The sequence below is a fragment of the Homo sapiens genome, chromosome 5 (assembly GCF_000001405.40).
Source record: "Homo sapiens chromosome 5, GRCh38.p14 Primary Assembly".
Taxonomy (NCBI): Eukaryota; Metazoa; Chordata; class Mammalia; order Primates; family Hominidae; genus Homo; species Homo sapiens.
In genome coordinates, this window is record NC_000005.10 from 126,444,025 (window position 1) to 126,465,761 (window position 21,737).

General features: G+C 42.1%; 1 protein-coding gene across 26 annotated transcripts in view, besides 1 other annotated feature; it reads left to right on the top strand.

Moving 5' to 3' along the window:
* GRAMD2B (GRAM domain containing 2B) overlaps positions 1-21,737 on the top strand; it is a 134,245-nt gene that overhangs the window by 83,905 nt on the left and 28,603 nt on the right. For 17 of the 26 annotated variants that reach the window (NR_146195.2, NR_146196.2, NR_146197.2 and 14 more), the window contains exon 2: positions 21,402-21,521. Coding sequence is in view for 23 of the 26 variants with exons in the window: in XM_011543593.3 (XP_011541895.1) it covers positions 21,402-21,521 (120 nt within the window). In the remaining 3 variants the exon portion in view is untranslated. Of the gene's footprint in view, positions 1-5,875; positions 18,419-21,125; positions 21,197-21,352; positions 21,522-21,737 lie in introns of those variants that run through there. The other 9 variants (XM_047417614.1, XM_011543594.3, NM_001146322.3 and 6 more) reach the window with 5 other exon arrangements.
* Positions 802-2,001: an enhancer, noted in NCBI's record as "P300/CBP strongly-dependent group 1 enhancer chr5:125780518-125781717 (GRCh37/hg19 assembly coordinates)". NCBI's record gives its function as "activates an origin of replication core promoter dependent on BRD2, BRD4, P300/CBP, MED14 and CDK7 cofactors, with strong dependence on P300/CBP, by STARR-seq in HCT116 cells {active_cell/tissue: HCT116}" and the evidence as "EXISTENCE:reporter gene assay evidence [ECO:0000049][PMID:35650434]".

Genomic DNA, 21,737 nt, shown 5'->3' on the forward strand with positions numbered 1-21,737 from the left:
CTGGGCAAGAAGAGTGAAACTCCATCTCAAAAAAAAAAAAGAGAGAGGCCTTCCAGCACTCCACCACCACTAATACCACCACCACCACCAGTCCTGGCCTACCTTTTCCAAAGAAGATTATTCCAAGAAAAAAACAGGTGGAGCACACTGTGGTAGGGGCCAGGGTGGTGGCAAGAGAATTTATGGAATTTAAGGACAAGAGCCCTTTCCATTATCCCCCACTACTGAGCAAACCATACTGTGCAGATGTCTGTCTGCCTTAAGAACAAGCTGGCCTTCTAGCTTAGAAAAGACCTTTCTTCCGTGCCCTCTCTAAGGTAACTTGCCTATTTGGTATCTGAAGCCATTCAAGGAGATGTTATGAATTATTGTTTTGTAAAAGCCATTTTTTATGAACTGAATTCCGCAGATTTTTTGTTCTAAGAATTGGCAAGAACCTTTTGCAAAGATAAGGGGACAGGTGCCCTTTGAAGTATATGTTTATGATTGATCAATTCAGAGAATCTAATACTTTTGAGAGCTGATTTTTGTACCTAGAATTCCATATTTTGTTTCAAACGTACTGCTCATTTTTTAGATCTATACAGAATTGTTACAAACCTTGTAAAGTCTCCAAGATAAATGAGGATGTTCATATGAAAACCCAGACAATCTTTTCTTTTCTTCTCCTCTTCAACTTTTATTTGTAGTTCCAGGGTATATGTGCAGGATGTGCAGGTTTGTTACATAGGTAGACGGGTGCCATGGTGGTTTGCTGCACAGATCAACCCATTGCCTAGGTATTAAGTCCAGCATCCATTAGCTATTCTTCCTGGTGCTCTCCCTCCCACCTCTCCTGACAGGGCTTAGTGTGTGTTGTTCCCCTCCCTGTGTGCATGTGTTCTCATCGTTCAACCTCCACTTAAGAGTGAGAACATACGGTGTTTGATTTTCTTTTCCTGCATTAGTTGGCCGAGAATGATGGCTTCCAGCTCCATCCATGTTCCTGCAAAGGACATGATCTCAGTCTTTTTTATGGATGCGTAGTATTCCATGGTGTATATTTACCACATTTTCTTTATCCACTCTATAATTGATGGGCATTTGGGTTGATTCCATGACTTTGCTATTGTGAATAATGCTGCAGTGAACATACTTGTGCCTGTATCTTTATAACAGAATGATTTCTGTTCCTTTGGGTACATACCCAGTAATGGGATTACTGGGTCAAATGGTATTTTTGCCTCTGGGTCTTTAAGGAATTGCCACACTCTCTTCCACAATAATTGAACTAATTTACACTCCCACCAACAATGTAAAAGTGTTCCTTTTTCTCTGCAGCCTTGCCAGCATCTGTTTTTTCTTCACTTTTTAATAATCGCCATTCACTGGTGTGAGATGGTATCTCATTGTGGTTTTGATTTGTATTTCTCTAATGATCAGTGATGTTGAGCTTTTTTTCATATGAAAAATCCAGACAATCTTGAGGGCCAGCACAGCCTGAGGACTTGCTGACACAAAGTATTGACGGGCCAGAGGAAGTGGGCAGCCTGGATATCACATCACCCCATGTCTGCTGCTGCTCAGGTTTCTCTCACTGTCTCTTGGGTATGTGGTGGGGAGTGGGGGGTGAGGAGGGGGTGGGAGGGCAGATTAAAGAGAAGCAGCTGCAGCCTGAGGCACAGACAGGATGCAGAGTGACTCCATCATCCCACCTAGAGTCATGGACACCACCCACTTTGATACATTCTGTTCACAACCATAATTCCTTTCATGCTGATTCGTGTCATTGGGAATCTCTCTTCTTCAGCTTCAAGAGAGCCGAATCTGACTCAGGTGTTGAGATTGGGGAATGGCATTTCCATTTCTTCCTCTCTCCAGTATAGCCAGAGCAGGAAGGGCAAGAGAAAAGGGGTCCTGGTACCTGGTGATGTCAAAGTAGGCAGCTCCTACTGCTGTGCTAGCAAGAGCCATGTGGACTAGTGTGAGAACAGGAACTCTCCCAAGTCCCCTACTGGGTAACCAGATACCCAACAGTGTGCCTAGAGATGCTTTAGTCCACTCCAATCCTAAATACTACTACATTGTGCTAATAGTTTCCCTGAAAAACAGCCATATTTCACTCATTTTTTTAAAAATCAATTACAATTTTTAGCCTTAAGGTTTGATATTGGTATTGTGTTTATTTTTTCAAAGAATCTTTATCTTGTAGAGTTATACACTGCAATAGTTACAGATGAAAAGATAGTGTGGTCTGGGATTTGTCTCAAAACCAGTAGGAGGTAGGAGTGGTGGGCTACAGGTATATAGATGAAACAAGATTGCCTTGTTTATACTATTCTATCTACTTTGTACCTGTTTTCTATGTTATAAAATGTTCATAGTAAGTGGTTTAAACTTCAAAAATCATTTCTGAAAATAAGTGGATACCCTTATTTACTCAGCTGTGCTATAAATTTCATATTAACCCCCCAAAACTAGACCAGTCTGAGTGTTTCTAATAAAATCCAGCAGTAACCGTGACTGATTTTAAAACATTCACTGCTTCTCTTATCTACAATGCCTAGCTTCATTAGTCATGTAGAAAATGTTTACATTCCCCAAGCTTTTAAAAATTAAAAAAAAAAAAAAAAAAAACCTATGTGTTCTCAATTTGAGTAAGGTGTGACGGAGAGCAGCTCTGTGACACAGGCTGAGGGAGGAGGATTTGGTGTGGAGGCGAGGAAACTGGGGCCCTTACTAAGACACTGAAATATGATAAACATCCTTATGAAGATGCCACTCCCAGAAACTGGGACTTGAGCTACTCTTAGGAAGCCACAGACCATGGAATACAGATTCTTCTCCTGGAAACTTCTCCATTTCCAAGAAGGCATAAAATGAAGGAAAGCAATCCTCTTTCCTTTCCGTTTCTTGGAATCTAATATCTAAGCATTACCCTTTACACTCTAGCAAAGTAAAGCAAACTAAGGCATGACGGCCCCTCCCAGCAGTAATTATGAGATCATTTGGCCTCAGTAACTAGGCAGACTCCACTACCTTTCACCTAGTTTCGTGGGAAGAAATGGTAAAGCTCCCTCGATGGAAATGTTCCTTCTTTCGCCATAACCTTCACAGGATCCATCTGTCTAATCTTTGTCTGAAGGAATTGGAAGGGCAGGCGGTTGCCTCACCAAAAGCACCCTCAGTACTTTAGTCTACTGAATTATGGGGGGTTGTTCCAGAAGAGGATCCAAACCCCAGCAGAAAACTCCTGGCCTTTCCCATGCCAGTTTTCCCAAGCCCAGGAATTCCAAGTGAAGTACATCCATTCCTATTGCTATTTATACTGTCTGGTGTAGCCAAAATGGGCCCTGGGCTAGAAATCAGAAAGCCTAGGCCGGGCGCAGTGGCTCACGCCTGTAATCCCAGCACTTTGGGAGGCCAAGGCGGGCAGATCATGAGGTCAGAAGATTGAGACCATCCTCGATAACACGGTGAAACCCCGTCTCTACTAAAAAAATACAAAAAATTAGCCGGGCGTGGTGGCGGGCGCCTGTAGTCCCAGCTACTCAGGAGGCTGAGGCAGGAGAATGGCGTGAACCCGGGAGGCGGAGCTTGCAGTGAGCCGAGATCGTGCCACTGCACTCCAGCCTGGGCGACAGAGCAAGACTCCGTCTCAAAAAAAGAAAAAAAAAAAAAAAGAAAGAGATCAGAAAGCCTGGCCTTTAGAGCTGATTTAAGGAACATGAAGTCCTTAAGGTAAATGAATTGAACCTTTTTGTGGGGATACAGAGATGTGAAAAGACCAGGATCCTGCCCTCCAGAGGCATATGGTCAAAGCAGGGCAAAGACAAGTAAACAGTAGCCCATTTATAATTTTTTTTTTTTTTAAAAAATAGTCTCACTCTGTTGCCCAGTTTGGAGCACAGTGTGGCATGATCTCGGCTTACTGCAACCTCCGCCTCCCAGGTTCAAGCAATTCTTCTGCCTCAGCCTCCCAAGTAGGTGGGATTACAGGCATGCACCACCACATCCAGCTAATTTTTGTATTTTTTAGTAGAGAGAGGGTTTCACTGAGCAGGCTGGTCTCAAACTCCTGACCTCAAGTAACCCACCCGCCTCAGCCTCCCAAAGTGCTGGGATTACAAGTGTGAGCCACAGCACCTGACCCCATTTATAATTTTTAAATAAACCACATACTAAAGTGATACAGTTGCCATGACAGTCACAGGGTACTGGAAAGGAGCACAAAGAAGAAGAGGTCAGTCCTTAGGACCTAGAGGGGGTTGGGGAAGTTGCCAGGTAGGAGGTGACCCCATCAAGAGCTAAATCTTGAAAGATAAACAGTGCTTGCAAGGGACCACAGAGAAGGCATGGCAGCCCAGGAGGAGGGTGCTTGGGGGCAGCATGACAAGAGGTTCAAAGCCAGAAAGGGAGGCTTCACATTGCAGAGGACCTGTTTTCTGTACTCATCTTCAGCTTTATCCTGTAGGCAACAGAGAACCAAAGGGGTTTTAAAGGAGGAGAAGGAATGATATGATCATATTTGGGCTTTACAAAGATCACAGAGCACAGTGATCTTCCATATAGATGGAAGGAGGAGGGGTCACATATAACTCAAATGAGGTAGGGAGGTATAGTGGTCCAGGCAGGAGGCATTAAGGACCCTAGCTAAGCCAACCAAATTAGGGAAAGAAAAAGAGGGGACTTAACTGGAAAATATTAAGGAGGTAAAGTCTACAGGTCTTGGTGTCTGACCGGGCTTGGAAAGAGAAGGCTAGTCATAGTATGAGAGTAATAGAGGCTTCAGTCACTAAGATTGGAGTTGTGTGGGCCCTCAGCGAACTCATCTTTGTTTCCTTATTTGTGAAATGTGGATAACACCTGTCTTACATGCCGGCCTCAAACACCTGTCTAACACACCTGTCTTTCATGCCTGCATGAGGGTTAGTGTGGTATCATGGTGTCACGGGTATGAATGCTTTTTGAACGGCAAAGCACCATGCAAATATAAAGTCATCCGGGAAATCCAGTAGAAAGGAGTGGCAAGGAAGAGGGAAGAGGCAGAGATGTGTTTTCCAAAGCGATGCGTTTCAAGTCCAGATAGAGAAAATGCATATTTGTGGTGGGAGAAATTAAGGACAGTAAATAAAGATGTCAAATATAAAATTAAAATCTTTTAGATCCACTGCTTATTTCCTTGAAAGTGGTACTGTCATGTACAAATTATATTCAATCTAATTCTTCTATCCCGTAAAAGTTAGTTATATTTAAAATATTGGGGTAAACATTTTAACAGCAGTGAGGAGCTATCACTAGTTCCACAATTATTCCATATCTTGATAGTTGTAATTAAAATCATGTATATTTTTACATAATAACAATATGGAATAATTCTATATTGTTGACACTAACATGACAAACCACATGGATAACTTCTAAGGAAAGCCAAATACAGATAAGAGACATTTACATCCTTAGGTAGATTAACACCTTTGAAACCTCACAATCTGAAATACTAAAACTATACTCTCTTATTTTTCGCCATGGGATATCATGAGCTTCTTTTTCCTTACGTATGTCTAATATGAGGGTGTTTTGGTTAAATCAAAGCCTTTTACATAAAACTGCTTTCACCAATATATAGATATATTCCACTTTTTTAAAGTGACAGTGTCTTTCTTCTCTAGAAGTTGAGTCCCATTAATTTTTTTTAGAAAAAGAATCCTGAGCTGTAATAATACTTGGCATTTAAGCAAAGAGAATTTTCACGTGTGCTGCTGATGCCCGTGTTGATTCACTTGGTGGGATATGGCATGAGACCGAAACCTGGCCTCTGGGAGAGTCCTGTGTGTCACATCCTGTGAACACCCTACTCTGTCCTCATATGTGTGTGGCTCTGCACTGTAAGATCAGAACACAGGAGACTGAGGAAGTAGCAATGCAGAGTTTGAGTGAGGGAGAAACAAAGCGACAGGTTTCTGGAACTATTTTGGACTCCCGTAGTAACTTTTAACTCTGCTACAATGCCCATGTACTTGGTCTTTTAAGCTCTCTCTGGCTTTTGATCTCTTTTTTTTTTTCCTCCTACATGAAACAGAAGACAGAGTTACAGGAAATGAAGGGTATAGGAGGAAAGAAAGAGCTGTAGTTATCGTAGATGCCAGAGTGGTAAGAGGCAGCTCTTCTTTCAGGGGCTTAGCTGAGGGCCAGAGTAGTACAGCTCGTCTCCACGGGGGTGGAGAGGGGTGCCTCAAAACAAAAGTGAACATTTCTCTCTTCTAAGTCGGCTTCTAATGGCCCTGGTTTTTGTCTGTTTTAACCTAAAAGGTTATTGCACTATTAACAGGTAAAAAATTCTCTTCTGACCAAATACATGTATTTCTAGCATAATATATTCTCTCTCTCTCTCTGGATAAAATTTATTAGCATATCAGCATAAACATAATTTTTGTAAGGTCAGACAAGAGATTTGAAGTGTAATTCAAGGGGAATTTGTATTAACGTAATGAAACATTCTGCTGTGAAGTTTACTAGCAATGCCTCACTCTGGGTTATCATTTCTGACTCCTCCCATTTCCTTTCTCACCCGTCACCTGGCCTTCATTCATTCTCTGTCCTAGAAGATAACCTCTAAAACCAGTGACAGTCCATCCAGCCTGCTGTTAAAAAAAAAAAAAAAAAAAAAAAAAATGTTGCTCACTCTGTCCCGGCCAGTCTGGCTCTAGCGTCAGCTCAAAGGGGCCCAGGTACAGCTCGGGCTGCCACTCCATAGGGTGCAAGCTGTAAGCCTTGGTGGCTTCCATGGGGTGCTAATCCTGCAGACACACAGAATGCAAGAGTGAAGAAGTCTTGACAACTTCCACCTAGATTTCAGAGGATATTTCAGAAAGCCTACATACCCAGGCAGAAGCCTGTCGCGCGGCGTAGCCAACACAAAAACTCTACTAGGGCAGTGCTGAGGGGAAATATGGGGTTGTGCCCCCACACAGAGTGCCCAACAGGGCACTGCCTAGTGGAACTGTAGGAAGGGGGCCACTGTCCTCCAGACCCCAGAATGGTAGAGCCTCTGGCAGCTTGCACCCTACATCTGGAAAACCCACAGGCATTCAACTCCAACCCGTGAGAGCAGCCAGCGAGGCTGCACCCTGCAAAGCCACAGAGGCAGAACTGTCCGAGGCCTTGGGAGCCCACTCCTTGCACCAGTGAGCTCCATAACTTGATCTTGAACTTCCAGCCTCCAAAACCATGAGAAATAAATTTCTGTTGTTTACAAGTATGTTAGTCCATTTGCATTGCTATAAAAGAATACCTGACACTGGGTGATTTATAAAGAAAAGAGGTTTAATTGGTTCACAGTTCTGCAGGCTATACAGGAAGCATGGTGTAAACAATCTCAAAAGAGATTGTTTTGGAGCTTTAAGACTTAATGACTGCCTTGCTGGGTTTCAGACCTGTGTGGGGCCTGCTTCCCCTTTCTTTTGGCCGACTTCTCCTTTCTGGAATGGGAATGTTTATCCAGTGCCTGTACCACCATTGTATCTTGGAAGTAAATAACTTTTTTTATTTTACAGGCTCATTAGTGGTAGGAGATGAGTCTCTTACGAGACTTAGGACTTTAGACTTGATGCTGGAACAAGTTAAGACTTTTGGGGACTTTGGGGAAAGTATGATTGTATTTTGCAATGTGAGGACGAGATGTGGGGGGCCAGCGGCAGAATGATATGGTTTGGATATTTGTCCCCTCCAAATCTCATGTTCCAGTGTGATTCCCAGTGTCAGAGGCGGGACCTGGTAGAAGATGATTGGATCGCAGCAGTGGATCCTTCACAAATGGGTTTGCACCATCCCCTTGGTGATAAGTGAATTCTCACTCAGTTAGTTAATATGAGATCTGGTTTTTTGAAAGAGTCTTGGACTTCCCCTTCTCTCTCTCTTGCTCCCACTCTCACCATGGGATGTGCCTGCTCCCCCTTCGCCTTCCACCACGATTGTAAGCTCCCTGAGGCCCTGACCAGAAGCAGATGCCGGCACTATGCTTCCTAGACAGCCTGCAGAACTGTGAACCAATTAAACCTCTTTTCTTTATAAATTACCCAGTCTTGGGTATATCTCTATAGCAATGCAAATGGACTGACATTCTTGTAAACAACAGAAATTTATTTCTCATGGTTTTGGAGGCTGGAAGTTCAAGATCAAGTCATCAACAAATTCAGTGTCTGGTGAGGGCACATTTGCTGTTTCATGGATGGCTGTATTTTGTTGGATCCTCATGTGGTGGAAGGGACTAATGAGCTCCCTACAAGGGCATTAATCCCATTCATGAGGGCTCTACCCTCATAATCTAATCACCTCCCAAAAGCCCCACATCCTAATGCCTTCACCTCGGGGGTTAGAATTTCAACATGTAAATGTTTGGTGGACACAAACATTCAGACCATAGCACCTGGTTTCCCTGACATTACTCTCTTGCAATACCCATCTATCAAAAAATAGACAATACTTTTCTCCTGAGTATCAGGTTCATAAACTGTCACATCTCAGGAAACCATGGCAGGGCCTTTTATTCCCTAAATTCAGAAGCACCCTTATCCGTCCATCAGTAAGTCTAGCCCCTCAGCCACTCTATTCCTTATCATTCTACTCTCCTGGCAGTTCTCATACTACAGACACCACTTCTCCTTGGCATTCCTGATATATAAGTCAGTTCTTTCCTTTCTCCTCCTTTGTATACTAGTAGTAGAACCTTTTATGACTCTTGCCTGAAGTTCTCATCCTCACAGTTTTGTTCTCTCTTTGATCTTCTGTTCCTTTAACATGAGGTTCCAAATTGGTTTCCTTTATGATAGACCTCACTAAGTAATGAAAAATTTCAGTTTCTCTAAGTATGTTTTTCTGGACTTTATGCCCTATTCTTTTGCATTTCTATCTTTTTGTTTGGGTAAGCTTTTCATTCTAGTTAAAAACTAGTTCTTTCCTAAACACAGTCTTCAGAACAAAAAACCTTAATCAAATAGATATCCTCTAATATATCTTAGGTATATGAAAAGTGGCTCATTGTGACATCCAATTGCTGGTGGAGAAGAGCCCCAAAAAGGAACGAAGATATGAGGCCAAGGTGGGCAGATCACCTGAGGTCAGGAGTTCAAGACCAGCCTGGCCAACATGGTGAAATTCTGTCTCTATTAAAAATACAAAAATTAACTGGGCATGATGGCACATGCCTGTAATCCCAGCTACTTAGGAGGCTGAGGCAGGAGAATTGTTTGAACCCAGGAGGTGGAGGTTGCAATGAGCCAAGATCACGCCACTGCACTCTAGCCTGGGCAACAGAGCAAGACTCCATCTTCTCCATCTTAAAAGAAAAAAAAAAAAAAAAAAAGGAATGAAGACAGAAATTCAAAAAAATGCTTAAAGTCCCTGCCCCTAAAAAGGTTATAGTCTAGTTTGGAGGAGATATATTCAGTATATGTTTTTAGGAAGTTTATTATGCAATGCAAAATAGCATTCATGCACTGAGGCTGTAAATAACAAAGGAGAATTCACTATCAGCAGCATCAATCTTCCTTGGCTGGAAACTAGAAAAGTCCATTGCTACCTCCTTGCTGCATTTTACAATTTACTTTGTTATTTTCCAACTGTGCTTGGCCTCAAAATGCTACTGCTGTGAAGTTAGTTTGATGAAAACAGTCTTTTCAAGTTTCCATATGGTTTCAAATTATTACTCATCTAACTAATAATCAGTTTGAAAAAATAAGTTTGCACACAATGCCAATTCAGCAGTGGGGAAAATTAAAAGACTGGCCTTTTTCTCTTGCTCCCACCCCCTCTTCCAAAACTTGTCAGCCACACTTGGGAAGGAGTTCATGAGGTAGGTTTTGAGATAAAATTTAAGCCCAAGCCCTTTTTAAAATGCTAATTGTTTTCCTGTATTGCAAATAGATGTCTAGGCAATAAGTATTAATTGCATAATTTCTTATATTATTGATAATAAAGAGATGGAAGTCAGTATAAAAGTGGGAATGTAATTGGATTTGTTCAGAATCTGGTATGATGGGTTCCTGTGTGTAGAGAGGAGGGAGCAGAGAACTGAGAATCAACACATAGAGGAAGGACAGAACATGATATAAGTGCGGCCAAGGTAAGACGACCAACATGGCTGGAACAGAGAATTCCTTTTGAAAAGAAGAGGGAGATTGCAAAACTGGAGGGTCTTGGCTCGTGTCCAGATGCCTCGATCTGGTGCTCAATAGAAAGGCATTGTTAACTCTGGAGCAGTGGCATGACATAATGGAGGCCGTGTCTCAGGAGGATGAATCGCACATTGATGTCCCAGAATCTTGGAGAGGAAGATCCTAGAGATCATTGCTGTGCGTTCCAAGGGTGGAAGGGAAATCACTGCAGCTGCACCCACTGTCCACTGTTGACTTTGTCTTAAAGCAGTGACAAAAGCCCTTGGGAGCTGTTTGGTTGCTTTTTTAAAAAATCAAGCTAGTTTGAGTTGGGTTTCTGTCTCTCCAAAATCAGAATCTTAACAATTAATTGCTTTTTGGAGTTATATGAGTTGCCTTAGGCTTTCAAAGAGACATAATATTTTAGGAAAACAGAATTAGGAGTAGATATAGAGGCAGGAATGAATCACATGATTGTTCATGGGACAATGACTTGTCCACTTTCATGAGAACAGAGGGGTCTTCTTTGAGACCATATTAAAGAGGTTACTGGAGCCAGATGGTGGCCTCTGCTAAACCATTTCTCTAGCCCTGCTATTGCTGCTGGTGTTTAGGTATTCATTTTTGCTACAGCAGTGTGCTTGAGACTCAGTGGAATTAGTTTCCAAACTGGCGGAACCCCTCCTCTGCAAAATCTGATATTCTTTTTATTGTTGACCTATTTGGGGCTCCTTTGGTTTTTTTAGATACAGTTTTCTACCTGCTATCAATATACATCTATTATGTCTAAAACTAAATTTACAAAATCCTTCCCACCAAACTACAATTTCTCTTGTGTTCCCTGTAACTGTTAGTGGCAATGCCATCCTCTCCATCCCCCAGATAACCTTGGTGTTCTTGGATGTTCCTCTCCATTGCGTGCTCTCCCTAATCATTCCAATGTTGTCTCTGGATTTTCCCTCCAACGCAGTGTCTGCTTCTTGCCTTCAGATTCACTCCCTACCTGCCTTTCTGTTTTCTCTTGTCTCCAGCTTCCACCCTCCCTTGTTCTTGTACAAATAGGAATATAGTCCTCCAGAAGCCCATAGCTCATCAGGTCCATGATGTATAAAAGGTGGGCATTTAATATCTTGTCATTTTATTCCTTCTGTTTAAAAATCTTCAATTAATACCTACCACCAGTCAAATGAAGTCTAAAAGTAGCCTTCCCTCATTAGGAGTCAAACTTCACAACTTAATTTCTGCTTCTTCCTGCTGCCTGTACTTCAGAAAAAAAAAACAAACTGTTGGATTTCCTTGTGAGAGTGACTTTTCCTTGTCTGCATATTGTGCTTCTGCCTTTCCTTGTGTTTCTCATGACCTTATGGCATCTCTGACTCCAAATTGTATGTATCCAGCACAAATCTCAATCCTTCCACAATAATCATTGTATAACTACAGTGTTTCTTTGGACAGAGAGGTAGCACCAATGGCTGTGATGCAGTAATGAAAGTTTTGATTTCTCCAATCCAAAGGACTGTTTTATTTTTACTGTTTTATATAACAAATAGAAATATAATTTACATTTCTAGTTTCTCGTACTGAAATATATTTCTGACAGCTATAATATTTTTCTACTTAACTAGAAAAGACATAGTGCCCTCCCCATACACAAGGGTGTCATGCTTATTTCTTCCACACAACTTCTCTGAGTCTCCTCTTTACAATTAGAAGAGGTTTCTGAATTCCTTAGACACCTTCTTTATGACACAATATCCTTTATGACATGTATTGTTCTGTGTTTATGTACTGAACTTAAGTTCCCAATAAAGCCTAAATCCTTTGAGAACATAAAATCTGGTATTAGGTTTTACACATAGTAACAGCTCAAACATTTGAAGATAGTAAATCCACTGATTTTTATTATCCACTCTGTATCTCACATCTTTGCTACAAGGATATGAATAAAACTTTTAAAATTGTTTAAATGCTTACCAAAATAATATAATTCATTAAAATTGTATAATGAGCTCAATCCCACCTCTCCCATCCCCTATCTGCCCCCTCAGTAGCTACCACTTTTTTTGTTGTTGAGACAGGGTCTCACTCTGTCACCCAGGGTAAAGTGCAGTGGCACAATCACGGCTCACTGCAGCCTCGAACCCCTGAGCTCAAGTGATCCTCCCACCTCAGCATCCTGAGCAGCTGGAACCACAGGTGCACACCACCATACCCGGCTAAATTTTTTGTTTTTTTTTGTAGAGATGGGGTCTCCCTATGTTGTCCAGGCTGGTGTCAAACTGCGGCTCAAGTGATCCTCCCACCTCAGCCTCCCAAAGTGCTGGATTACAGGAGTGAGCCACCATACCCAGCCTACCACTTCTAACTGTACCCAGTTTTAGTGTAGTGGTTACTTCATTATCTGTAAAAATGTGTGTATCTTGCTCTTTTTGTTTATCAGTATTAAACCTTATCTCTCAACTTCCTGTTTTGATGGAAAAGAATCAACTCCCTTATACTAACTCCCTCCTTCCCTCTCTTCCTTTTAACAGGCGTATCTTTCTAGTTCCTATTTTCATGCATTTGTTTATTGCCTCTTTTAAGTAATACAGCAACATAAATTTCTAATGAAATCACTTTGACTCCCCACTTTTTAGGGTAAGAAATTAGTAACCGCTGCCATTTTACCTCCCCCTTTGTTTTTTCTTTAATAATGTCTGCTCTCTTTTTCAGTTTAGAATGCCTATCCATTTGATATAGAAGTACCTGGCTGAGGCCGGACACAGTGGCTCACGCCTGTAATCCCAGCACTTTGGGAGGCCAAGGCAGGCAGATCACAAGGTCAGGAGATCAAGACCATCCTGGCTAACACGGTGAAACCCCGTCTCTACTAAAAATACAAAAAATTAGCTGGGCATGGTGGCAGGCGCCTGTAGTCCCAGCTACTCGGGAGGCTGAGGCGAGAGAATGGCATGAATGTGGGAGGTGGAGCTTGCAGTGAGCCAAGATCGCGCCACTGCACTCCAGCAGAGGCGACAGTGCGAGACTCCGTCTCAAAAAAAAAAAAAAAAAAAAAAAAAAAAAAGAAGTACCTGGCTGACACATGTCATGTTTTTCCCTCTTATACCTATTCTGTTTTTGAATTTTGGTATCTTGATGCTATCTTACTTTGGTCCCTTAATGCTTTATCTCTTTTGGTTAAATATATAGGTCTTGGCCAGGCACTGTGGCTCACACCTGTAATCCCAGCACTTTGGGAGGCCCAGGCAGGTAGATCACCTGAGCTCAGGAGTTCAAGACCAGCCTGGCCAACATAGTGAAACCCTGCCTCTAAAAATACAAAAATTAACCAGGCATGGTGACACGTGCCTGTAATCCCAGCTACTTAGGAGACTGAGGCAGAAGAATCACTTGAACCTGGGAGGCGGAGGTTGCAGTGAGCCAAGATTGCACCACTGCACTCCAGCCTGGGCAATACAGCAAGACTCTGTCTCGGGGGGAAAAAAATTGTATATATATCATTGAGAAGGTGACATTCAAGTTAAATCTTAAAGGGAGAGAGTCACTTGGCTAACTGGGGTACAGCATCCCAGGCAGAGGGAACACTAGGGCACAGGTTTCTCATGGGGGCTTGGAGTGGGGCTGGACTAGGGTGAGGGAAGGAGAAGAGAGGATCGGGGAGGTGTGTGGGTCAGGTCCTGAAGTGCCTGATAGGCTATTGCAAGGATTTGGACTCTGAAAAAATTGGGGGATAAGTAGGGTTTCCTTCTCCATAACATTGTGATTCTTTTTCATGGGTGCTACCTTCTTTCTCTGAAGACATTAATTCATAGGATTTAGATTTTGTTTTTCTTGTTTGCATATTTGTCTTTTGTTTTCATCTGTTCACTAAAGCCAGTTTCCCTGGGATTTTACTTTCTTGTTGGTTCATCTTGGTCTTTTCTTTCAGACTTCAAGTTTTCTTCAAAGAAATGGCAATCCTTGGTTGTTATTTCATATTTAAGAATGAGGGACTGGGCCAGGCACAGTGGCTTGTGCCTATGATCTTAGCACTTTGAGAGGTAAAGGCAGGTGGATCACTTGAGGTCAGGAGTTCAAGACCAGCCTGGCCAACATGGTGAAACCCTGTCTCTAAGAAAAATATAAAAATTAGCCAGGCATGGTGTTGTGCGCCTGTAATCCCAGCTACTTAGGAGGCTGAGACAAGAGAATCACTTGAACCTGGGAGGCAGAGGTTGCAGCGAGCCAAGATTGCGTTACTGCACTGCACTCCAGCCTGAGCGACAGAGTAAGGCTCCATCTCAAAACAAAAAAAAAAAAAGAATGAGGGGCTAGAGAAAAAATAATAAGGGACTGGAGTAGCTGCTCCTCATCTTTGTACGTTCATGGATAGGGAGTTGGCACTTTTCCTGGGACTACCATATTCAAAATGGAAGGATGAGGATTTACTCTGGGGCTCCATAACTAGCTACCACGGTTGTATATAACTAGCTGCCACGGTTATATATAACTAGTTACCACAGTTTCCTGCACCCAAGTTGTTCAGTTATTTTAGCAATGACCCCTCTGATGCTTTTCCCTATTAACTGCCTGTAATTTGGGTCTGAGCCAGGGCGAGTGAGGAGGAAGTGTCAAGATTTCTCACAGCCACATCTTTAATTAAATCTAGTGTTTTCGGAAACTTCTCACCCACTCCTCCTGTAGCACCTCACTGGACTTCTGACAAACGGGTCGGTGTTTTCTTATCCCCCGTTGATGCCTATATTCAAGATTATGGCTTCCCTTGCTTTGCTGCATGAGTAAATATTGTACTTTACTTTCCGCTTTCCGTTTTTCCATATTTCAGAAAGTTTCAGAAATCAGTCTTCTGTTGATGGTTTCCCTCCATTATTGTAGCAGGATTATCACTTCTTTTGTACATATTCATTTTAAAGACCTTAGAAAGAAAGGAGAAGCAAACATTTGTGCTCCCATTCTCCATCCTGAACTGAAAGCCTTTCACATTTCATTGACGGTTTTGCTGAAATTAGAGAATACTATATTTTTGACACTCCTTTTATCTATCTGCTAATAAATCTATCGACAACAAAACTAGTTGTCATTAATATTTTATTTTAATGTCATGCCAGCCGCTAATATCCACTTAACTTTTTTTTGAAATGGGGTCTCTCTATGTTGCCCAAGCTGGTTTCAAACTCCTGGCCTCAGTCCATCCTCCCACATTAGCCTCCAGAGTGGCTGGAACTACAGGCACATGCCACCATACCTGGCTTCCACTTAACTTTTCTAAATGCTTAAGATTATTTATTTTAAAAGTCAACTATAGGATGTTACTAAGAATCTGTGAAGCAATTATGATAAGAATCATTTATACTAAATGTTTCAATCAACAACCCATTAGATAAATTGGCAAAATGTACATACAAACAGCTAATTCACAAAACAAGAAAAATTTTAATAAGTGCTTAAATATATGAAAATACACTCAGCTTTACTCTTAAGAAGAAAATGCAAATGAAACTGTAGTGGAATATTTTTTAACCTTTTACATTTGCAAAGATCAAAAAGTTTAGCGCTAGTCACGATTAAAATGATGATTGTTATTTTGTGTGCCAGCTATTATGCTAGGTACTTCAAAATATAAATATTTTTAAGGCTAACACTTTATTAGTGAGAAGATATAGACACTGTTGAATATTTGGGTATGCATCACAAAATGTCTACCGAGGGCAATTTGGCAATAGCTGTAACATTTTTTCTATCATACCTTTTGACACAGCAGTTCCATTTCCAGAAAATTATTCACACATGTAATAAACATATAAGGACATTTGTTGCAATGTTGTTAGTATTTGCAAAAGACTGAAATATACCTACATGCCCCATCAGTAAGGAACTGGTTAAATAACATTTCATCCTTACGATGTAACTTTATGCAGTCATTAAAAAGTATGAGGAAGATCTATGGGTACTGAAAGAACACCAAGATAAAATAAGTTAAAAAAAAAGCAAGGTGCAGAATAGCATGCTGTCTATCATTTGTGGTTCAAAAATGCACACGTTTACATACGCACAGTCTCTCCCAGGAAGGACACACAAGTTGCTGGGAAGAGTAGGTGCCTTTGTGGAGAGAAACTGGGTCACCATGAAACAGGGGTAAAAAGAAAATTTGTTTTTCCATTTGTAACTTTTAAATTTTATACTTATGCTTATAGTGCCTATTCAGAAATAAATATGTAGACAGATAAATGAAATTTATAGTTGTCCAAACAAAAATATATGTATCAGAATTGTAAATGGAAGATCATTCTTCTTGACTTGTAAAAATCTAGTTTGGGAGATTCTGAGTTTATGAAATTGGAAAAGCTAAAGGGTTTCCCAGCCATCCTGTCTCCATTGCTCACTCCTGCACTTCCGCACTCCATTCTATTTCCTTCTTTTGGTCACTGTGAGGCCTCTCTTTATTTGTACTATGGCTGCTGTCCAGCCCTCTTCCATCTCTATAGCCCAACTCTTTGCTTCCCAAGTATCGTGGCCTGTGTCTGCCAGCCACGGAGCCACTGAATAGGCAGCACTCCAAAAACAAGCGTCTATGAGGCCCCAGATCTTGGTGAATCCAGGTGCCAACATGGTTTTCACTACAGTTTCAGGAACACTCTACTTTCACAGACCCACCCATGACCACAGCAATCCCATTGCCAGGCATTTATTCTATGAAGACCCTCTGATGAAACATATCCTATCTTCAGACACTTCTAAACCTTTGTTGATCAAGACTGTGGCTTTAAAATGATCAGAGACTTTTTAAAAAATAATTGTAGATGTAAAACTACCTCTACTTCTACTACCATAAGGAAGCTTAGTGATTTTTTTTATGCCTTTAGCTTAGATTAACATGTGGGTAGACTCAAACACAGGGACTCATCACTGTAATTAGAAGGGAACACACCTTCTTGGACTGAACCACAGTGAAACACTTGTTTTCCTTCACCTGAGACACAGCTGAATCATAGCTTCTACCTTCAGCTACTTATTTACCTGGACTTGCATGTGATGTGCCTGAATACAATACATTCCCAGCAGGAGCGGCAAAGGGCCAGTGATGTGACAAGAGAAAGGTGTATTGAGTTTAGCTGAAACTCACAGAGACTATCTCCAGCAGGAATGATACTTGACTCCACATAAGAGTTCTAATTCTGAAAAATTGTGAAATGAGAATTTAAGTCATCATCAAACTAATGATGTCTGGGAAGTGACAAATATTAGATGGCTGATAGGGATTGTACAACCTGTTTTTGTATGTATAAATTGTGTAACAGTGTGTGGCAGTGTTTTATTGAAACAAGATTGTCCTAGCCAGTAATAAAAATGCTGTTCCCTGGCTGGGCATGGTGGTTTATGCTTTGTAATCCCAGCACTTTGGGAGGCCGAAGCAGGTGGATCACTTGAGGCCAGGAGTTCGAGACCAGCCTGGCCAACACAGCGAAACCCCGTCTCTACTAAAAATACAAAAATTAGCCAGACATGGTGGCAGGCACCTGTAATCCCAGCTACACGGGAGGCTGAGGCAGGAGAATCACTTGAACCTGGGAGGTGGAGGCTGTAGTGAGCAGAGATCACGCCATTGCACTCCAGCCTGGGTGACAAGAGTGAAACTCCATCTCAAAAAAATAAATAAATAAAAATAAAAATGCTCTCCCCTAATAGGTGAAGTCAGGTTTAGTTGTTATAAGCATGACTGTCTCACTGCTTTGAAATTTCTACTAAAAGCCTTTCAGGCAGGGACCATAACTGATGCTTAAAGTGGGTTGGAGATGGGAGGAGAAATAACCTGCCAAGGCCAAGTAAAGGTTGGTCCTGTGTCTCCAGCATTTTCTACTGCTTCTGTGGATACTTACACCTGCCAGCTCACTTACCTGTCTCATCTACAAAGCTCTGAGCACCCTGACAACAGGGACAAGTCCAGTAAATATTTGTTGAAAAAGGAGGATTGGTTTTTTGGTTTGTTTTTTCAGTTGACTCTTTTAGTCAAAGTCCGTAACAGGGCTTTGTCTTCTGGTTAAAAAATAAATAAAAACTGATTTCCTTATTTTCATGATTTAAATGAAACCTGTTCAGCTTCGTTGACCGTAACTTTAAAGTTACTAAGTGGCCTGGTTCAGCTTCATTGACAGTAACTTAAAAGTTTCCAAAAGGCCTTGAGGAAGCATTCCATTTCCCCTCCCACGCTGCTCACTCAAACACACGCTAGCCTCTGCTGCTTGAATTCTACATAGTTTCAGTCTGCTGCTGACAAGACCTCCAAGGTAAGGGACGCTTGCAGGAATAATCTTGCCTGTGTGAGGAATTAACTTGCTTGAGCCTGTAGCATCTTTAAGCAAAAACCTAAGATCAAATTGACTCGTAGATGAATTTCACTTCCTCTTTGAGATACTACATAATTAATCCATATCATTGAACGTATAAATGACCACTGTGAGCAAATGCTGAGCTGAGTGCTGTGGAAAAAAACCAGACATTCCCTGCCTTTAAGGAACTTGGTTTAGTGCTGGATAACTAAGATTTTTGGGAGAAAAGGTACCAGTACAAGGTATTAATTAATTAGATGCCTAGTGAGTTATAAAATCAGCAGGCAGCATAGAGACTTTTAAGCAGTGTGGAGGATGTGTCCCCTGGCTAGGGCCTTCAAGGAGAGAACCAGTGCTGAAGACAAGACACAAGTTGAAGGAGAAGTGAAGTGGAGAGTATGTAGAAAAAAGCTACTTTGAGTACACTGTATGTTCCATCCTTGAAAGACATTGTTTTAGTAGGACAATATAGAGGCATGCACTGTAATCTTTTCAGTGCTAAGCTAGGGGTCCCGAAACAGGACCACCTTATGTGGTTAAGCACTTAAGTCACCTGCACTGCACACAAATGCCTGACCAAGATGGGTCAGGGTCAAAGAGGAGCTGAAATCTAGCCTCAGTTTTGCTGCCTTCTGACCTTGGTGCTGGGCTGTTTCTGCCAAGAGCAAGAAGCACCTTATCTCTGCCAGGAGCACCTTTTGCAGAGTGGCTCTCTGTACACAAAGATGCTGTATAGGACAGCTCCAGCTCTCCCTCTAAGTCTTCATCTGATCCTGCATAAAATCCAGTAAATATCTGAATAAATGTTGAGATGGATTATTGAAGTTCTATACCCAGTCTCTACTTAAAGAGGGCTTCTCAAGTAGATTTCTGCCTGAATCTGTTGAAGAAAAGAGATAATGTGTTTGTGTCTTGGGGGAAGCGAAAAAAGGCAGAGATGTGCTTTAAGGCCTCTTAACTATTCTAAAATTCTTTGAGTCCACAAATTAAACTTGGTGCTAAGTTTAATAAAGTCCAATTATTATTTTAAACCAAAACAGGGTTTTCCTAATAATATTTCAATGCCTCAGCCTTCCATGTACCTTTGTCACATAATGCAATTCTGTTATGGACTGAGCCCTTTTAATGTATGTAACTGTTTTAAGTACTTGGAGAAAAATTGAAGAAATAGAAGGTTGGACCTCTGTCCTCAGATATGTATCTACTAGGAAAAGAGAAATGCTTACCACAAAATTAAGAGCGTCAACCATTTGGCCGGGTGCAGTGGCTCACGCCTGTAATCCCAGCACTTTGGGAGGCCAAGGTGGGCAGATCACCTGAGGTCAGGAGTTCGAGACCAGCCTGGCCAACATGGCAAAACCCCGTCTCTACTAAAAATACAAAAATTAGCCAGGCATGGTGGCGTGCGCCTGTAATCCCAGCTACTTGGGAGGCTGAGGCAGGAGAATCTTGAGGAAGGAGAATCTCTAGGAGGCAGTGGTTGCAGTGAGCCGAGATCGTGCCACTGCACTCCAGCCTGGGCAACCAGAGTGAAACTCCATCTCAAAAAAAAAAAAAAGAGCATCAACCATCTGTGGGTGTTATTAGTTAGATACCCTTGTCAGATATACTGGCCTTGATTCTGACACTACAATAGGACTCCTCGCCTAGGCTGCAATTTTCATATGCTGTGAAAAGTGATCAGCAAAGCAACCACACAGCTTAAACTATCCAGTGGCATTTCCTGCCTGCACAGTCATATGCAGGTGAGACTACCAAATAGGTGGTAAATGAAAGTGAAGATTAGCTAATCTCTCATAGCAATGCCATCTTAACATGTCTTTCTTTAGGCTCAGTCTCCATGGAGTCCTCACATCCTCAGAAGTATCGTTTGTGTTTTACTGAGCTGACACACCAAAGAAGTTCTGATCCATAAATAACATTTTGTATTCTTCCTTCAACATCCCTTCCTTTCCCACTTTCCCATTGGAAGTGGTTTCCCCTGCTTCCCAAGAGATCTTCACCGGCCGACTGAGGGAACTCACCTCTGCATCCCCCAAGCTGGTTGTCCTCTGTTTGTTGGTTCTATGCACAAACCTTCTTGACTCACCTTCCCCTCTACTCCCTTCCACCTTCTCTTTTACCAAGGTCAGACCTAGTTTTTCCAACGCCTATTGATCATGACTGTAAGTCAACACTATCCTAGACCCCGTGGTTAAGACAAAGATGAGTAAGATTCCCACTCTGCCCTGGAGCTCTCACACTGAAGAGTTAATTATGAGGATAAATGGATGAGTAGGTGGTTGGGGGGATGAATGGAGAGAGAGAACACAAAGGTTTTGCAGACAGACATACTAAGTTTGAATCTCAAGTAAGATAGATGCTAGCTCTCTGAACTTAGGCAAGATAGCAAGAGCCTCAGATTCCTCATCTGTAAAATGAGGGTAGTAATTCCTACCTAGTCTGGGTGGTTGTAAAGATTAGAGACTGTAAATTGCTTAGGGAACTGCTTGGTTAAACAACATGTAAGTGACATAAGAGAAATGCAAACAAAAGGGGTGGGGGTTCCCAGCAGGAAGGCTCACACCTGCAGGAGGCCACACGTGAGCGTGTGTACATGTGCGTGTGTGCTTGTGCAGGGCGCTCCCAGCCTCCAGGTGATCTGCTGCCCCAGCACAGCCCATGCAGAGCAGAGCTGGGCAGCACAGACCTGGGAGCCAGCAAGTCCACACAGTCTGGCATTTACAAGTGAAACAGGTGCGACCTGCAGCTACTGCCGTTGGGACACCAGGCAAGGGGTTAGAATGGAGATTGGGAAAGGGCCTCGCTGTCAAAGTTAACTAGCCTATCAGTGAGGAATGAAAATCATTCCATTCTCTAGAAAACCATGTTACTTCATCGTTTTCCTTCCAGCTACCTCTCTCTGAATGTCTAAAGTGAAGCGGTTTCCTTTCTTCTTCAGCTCAGAGGCTGAGAATGGTGTGGAGGAGAAAAAGAAAGCCTGCAGGTCGCCAACAGCCCAATCCCCTACCCCATCTGTGGAGGCGGACTCCCCAGACCAGAAGAAAATCATTAGCCTATGGTAAGTCCTCCGTTGACTCTCTTTGTTCTCTTTTGTCTTTTGGGGAGAAGGCGTTACAGGAGGAGCAGGGGTTTTTTGTTAAGAGTGAGGATGTATTAATACTATAGACAAATAATACTCCTGAGAAAGAATGAGCATTTTTCCCTGATACCCAGGTAGCATCTTTTTCTCCCTCCTGCCCCAGCCTTCAGCAGAGCATCTGCACCTTTCTGAAAG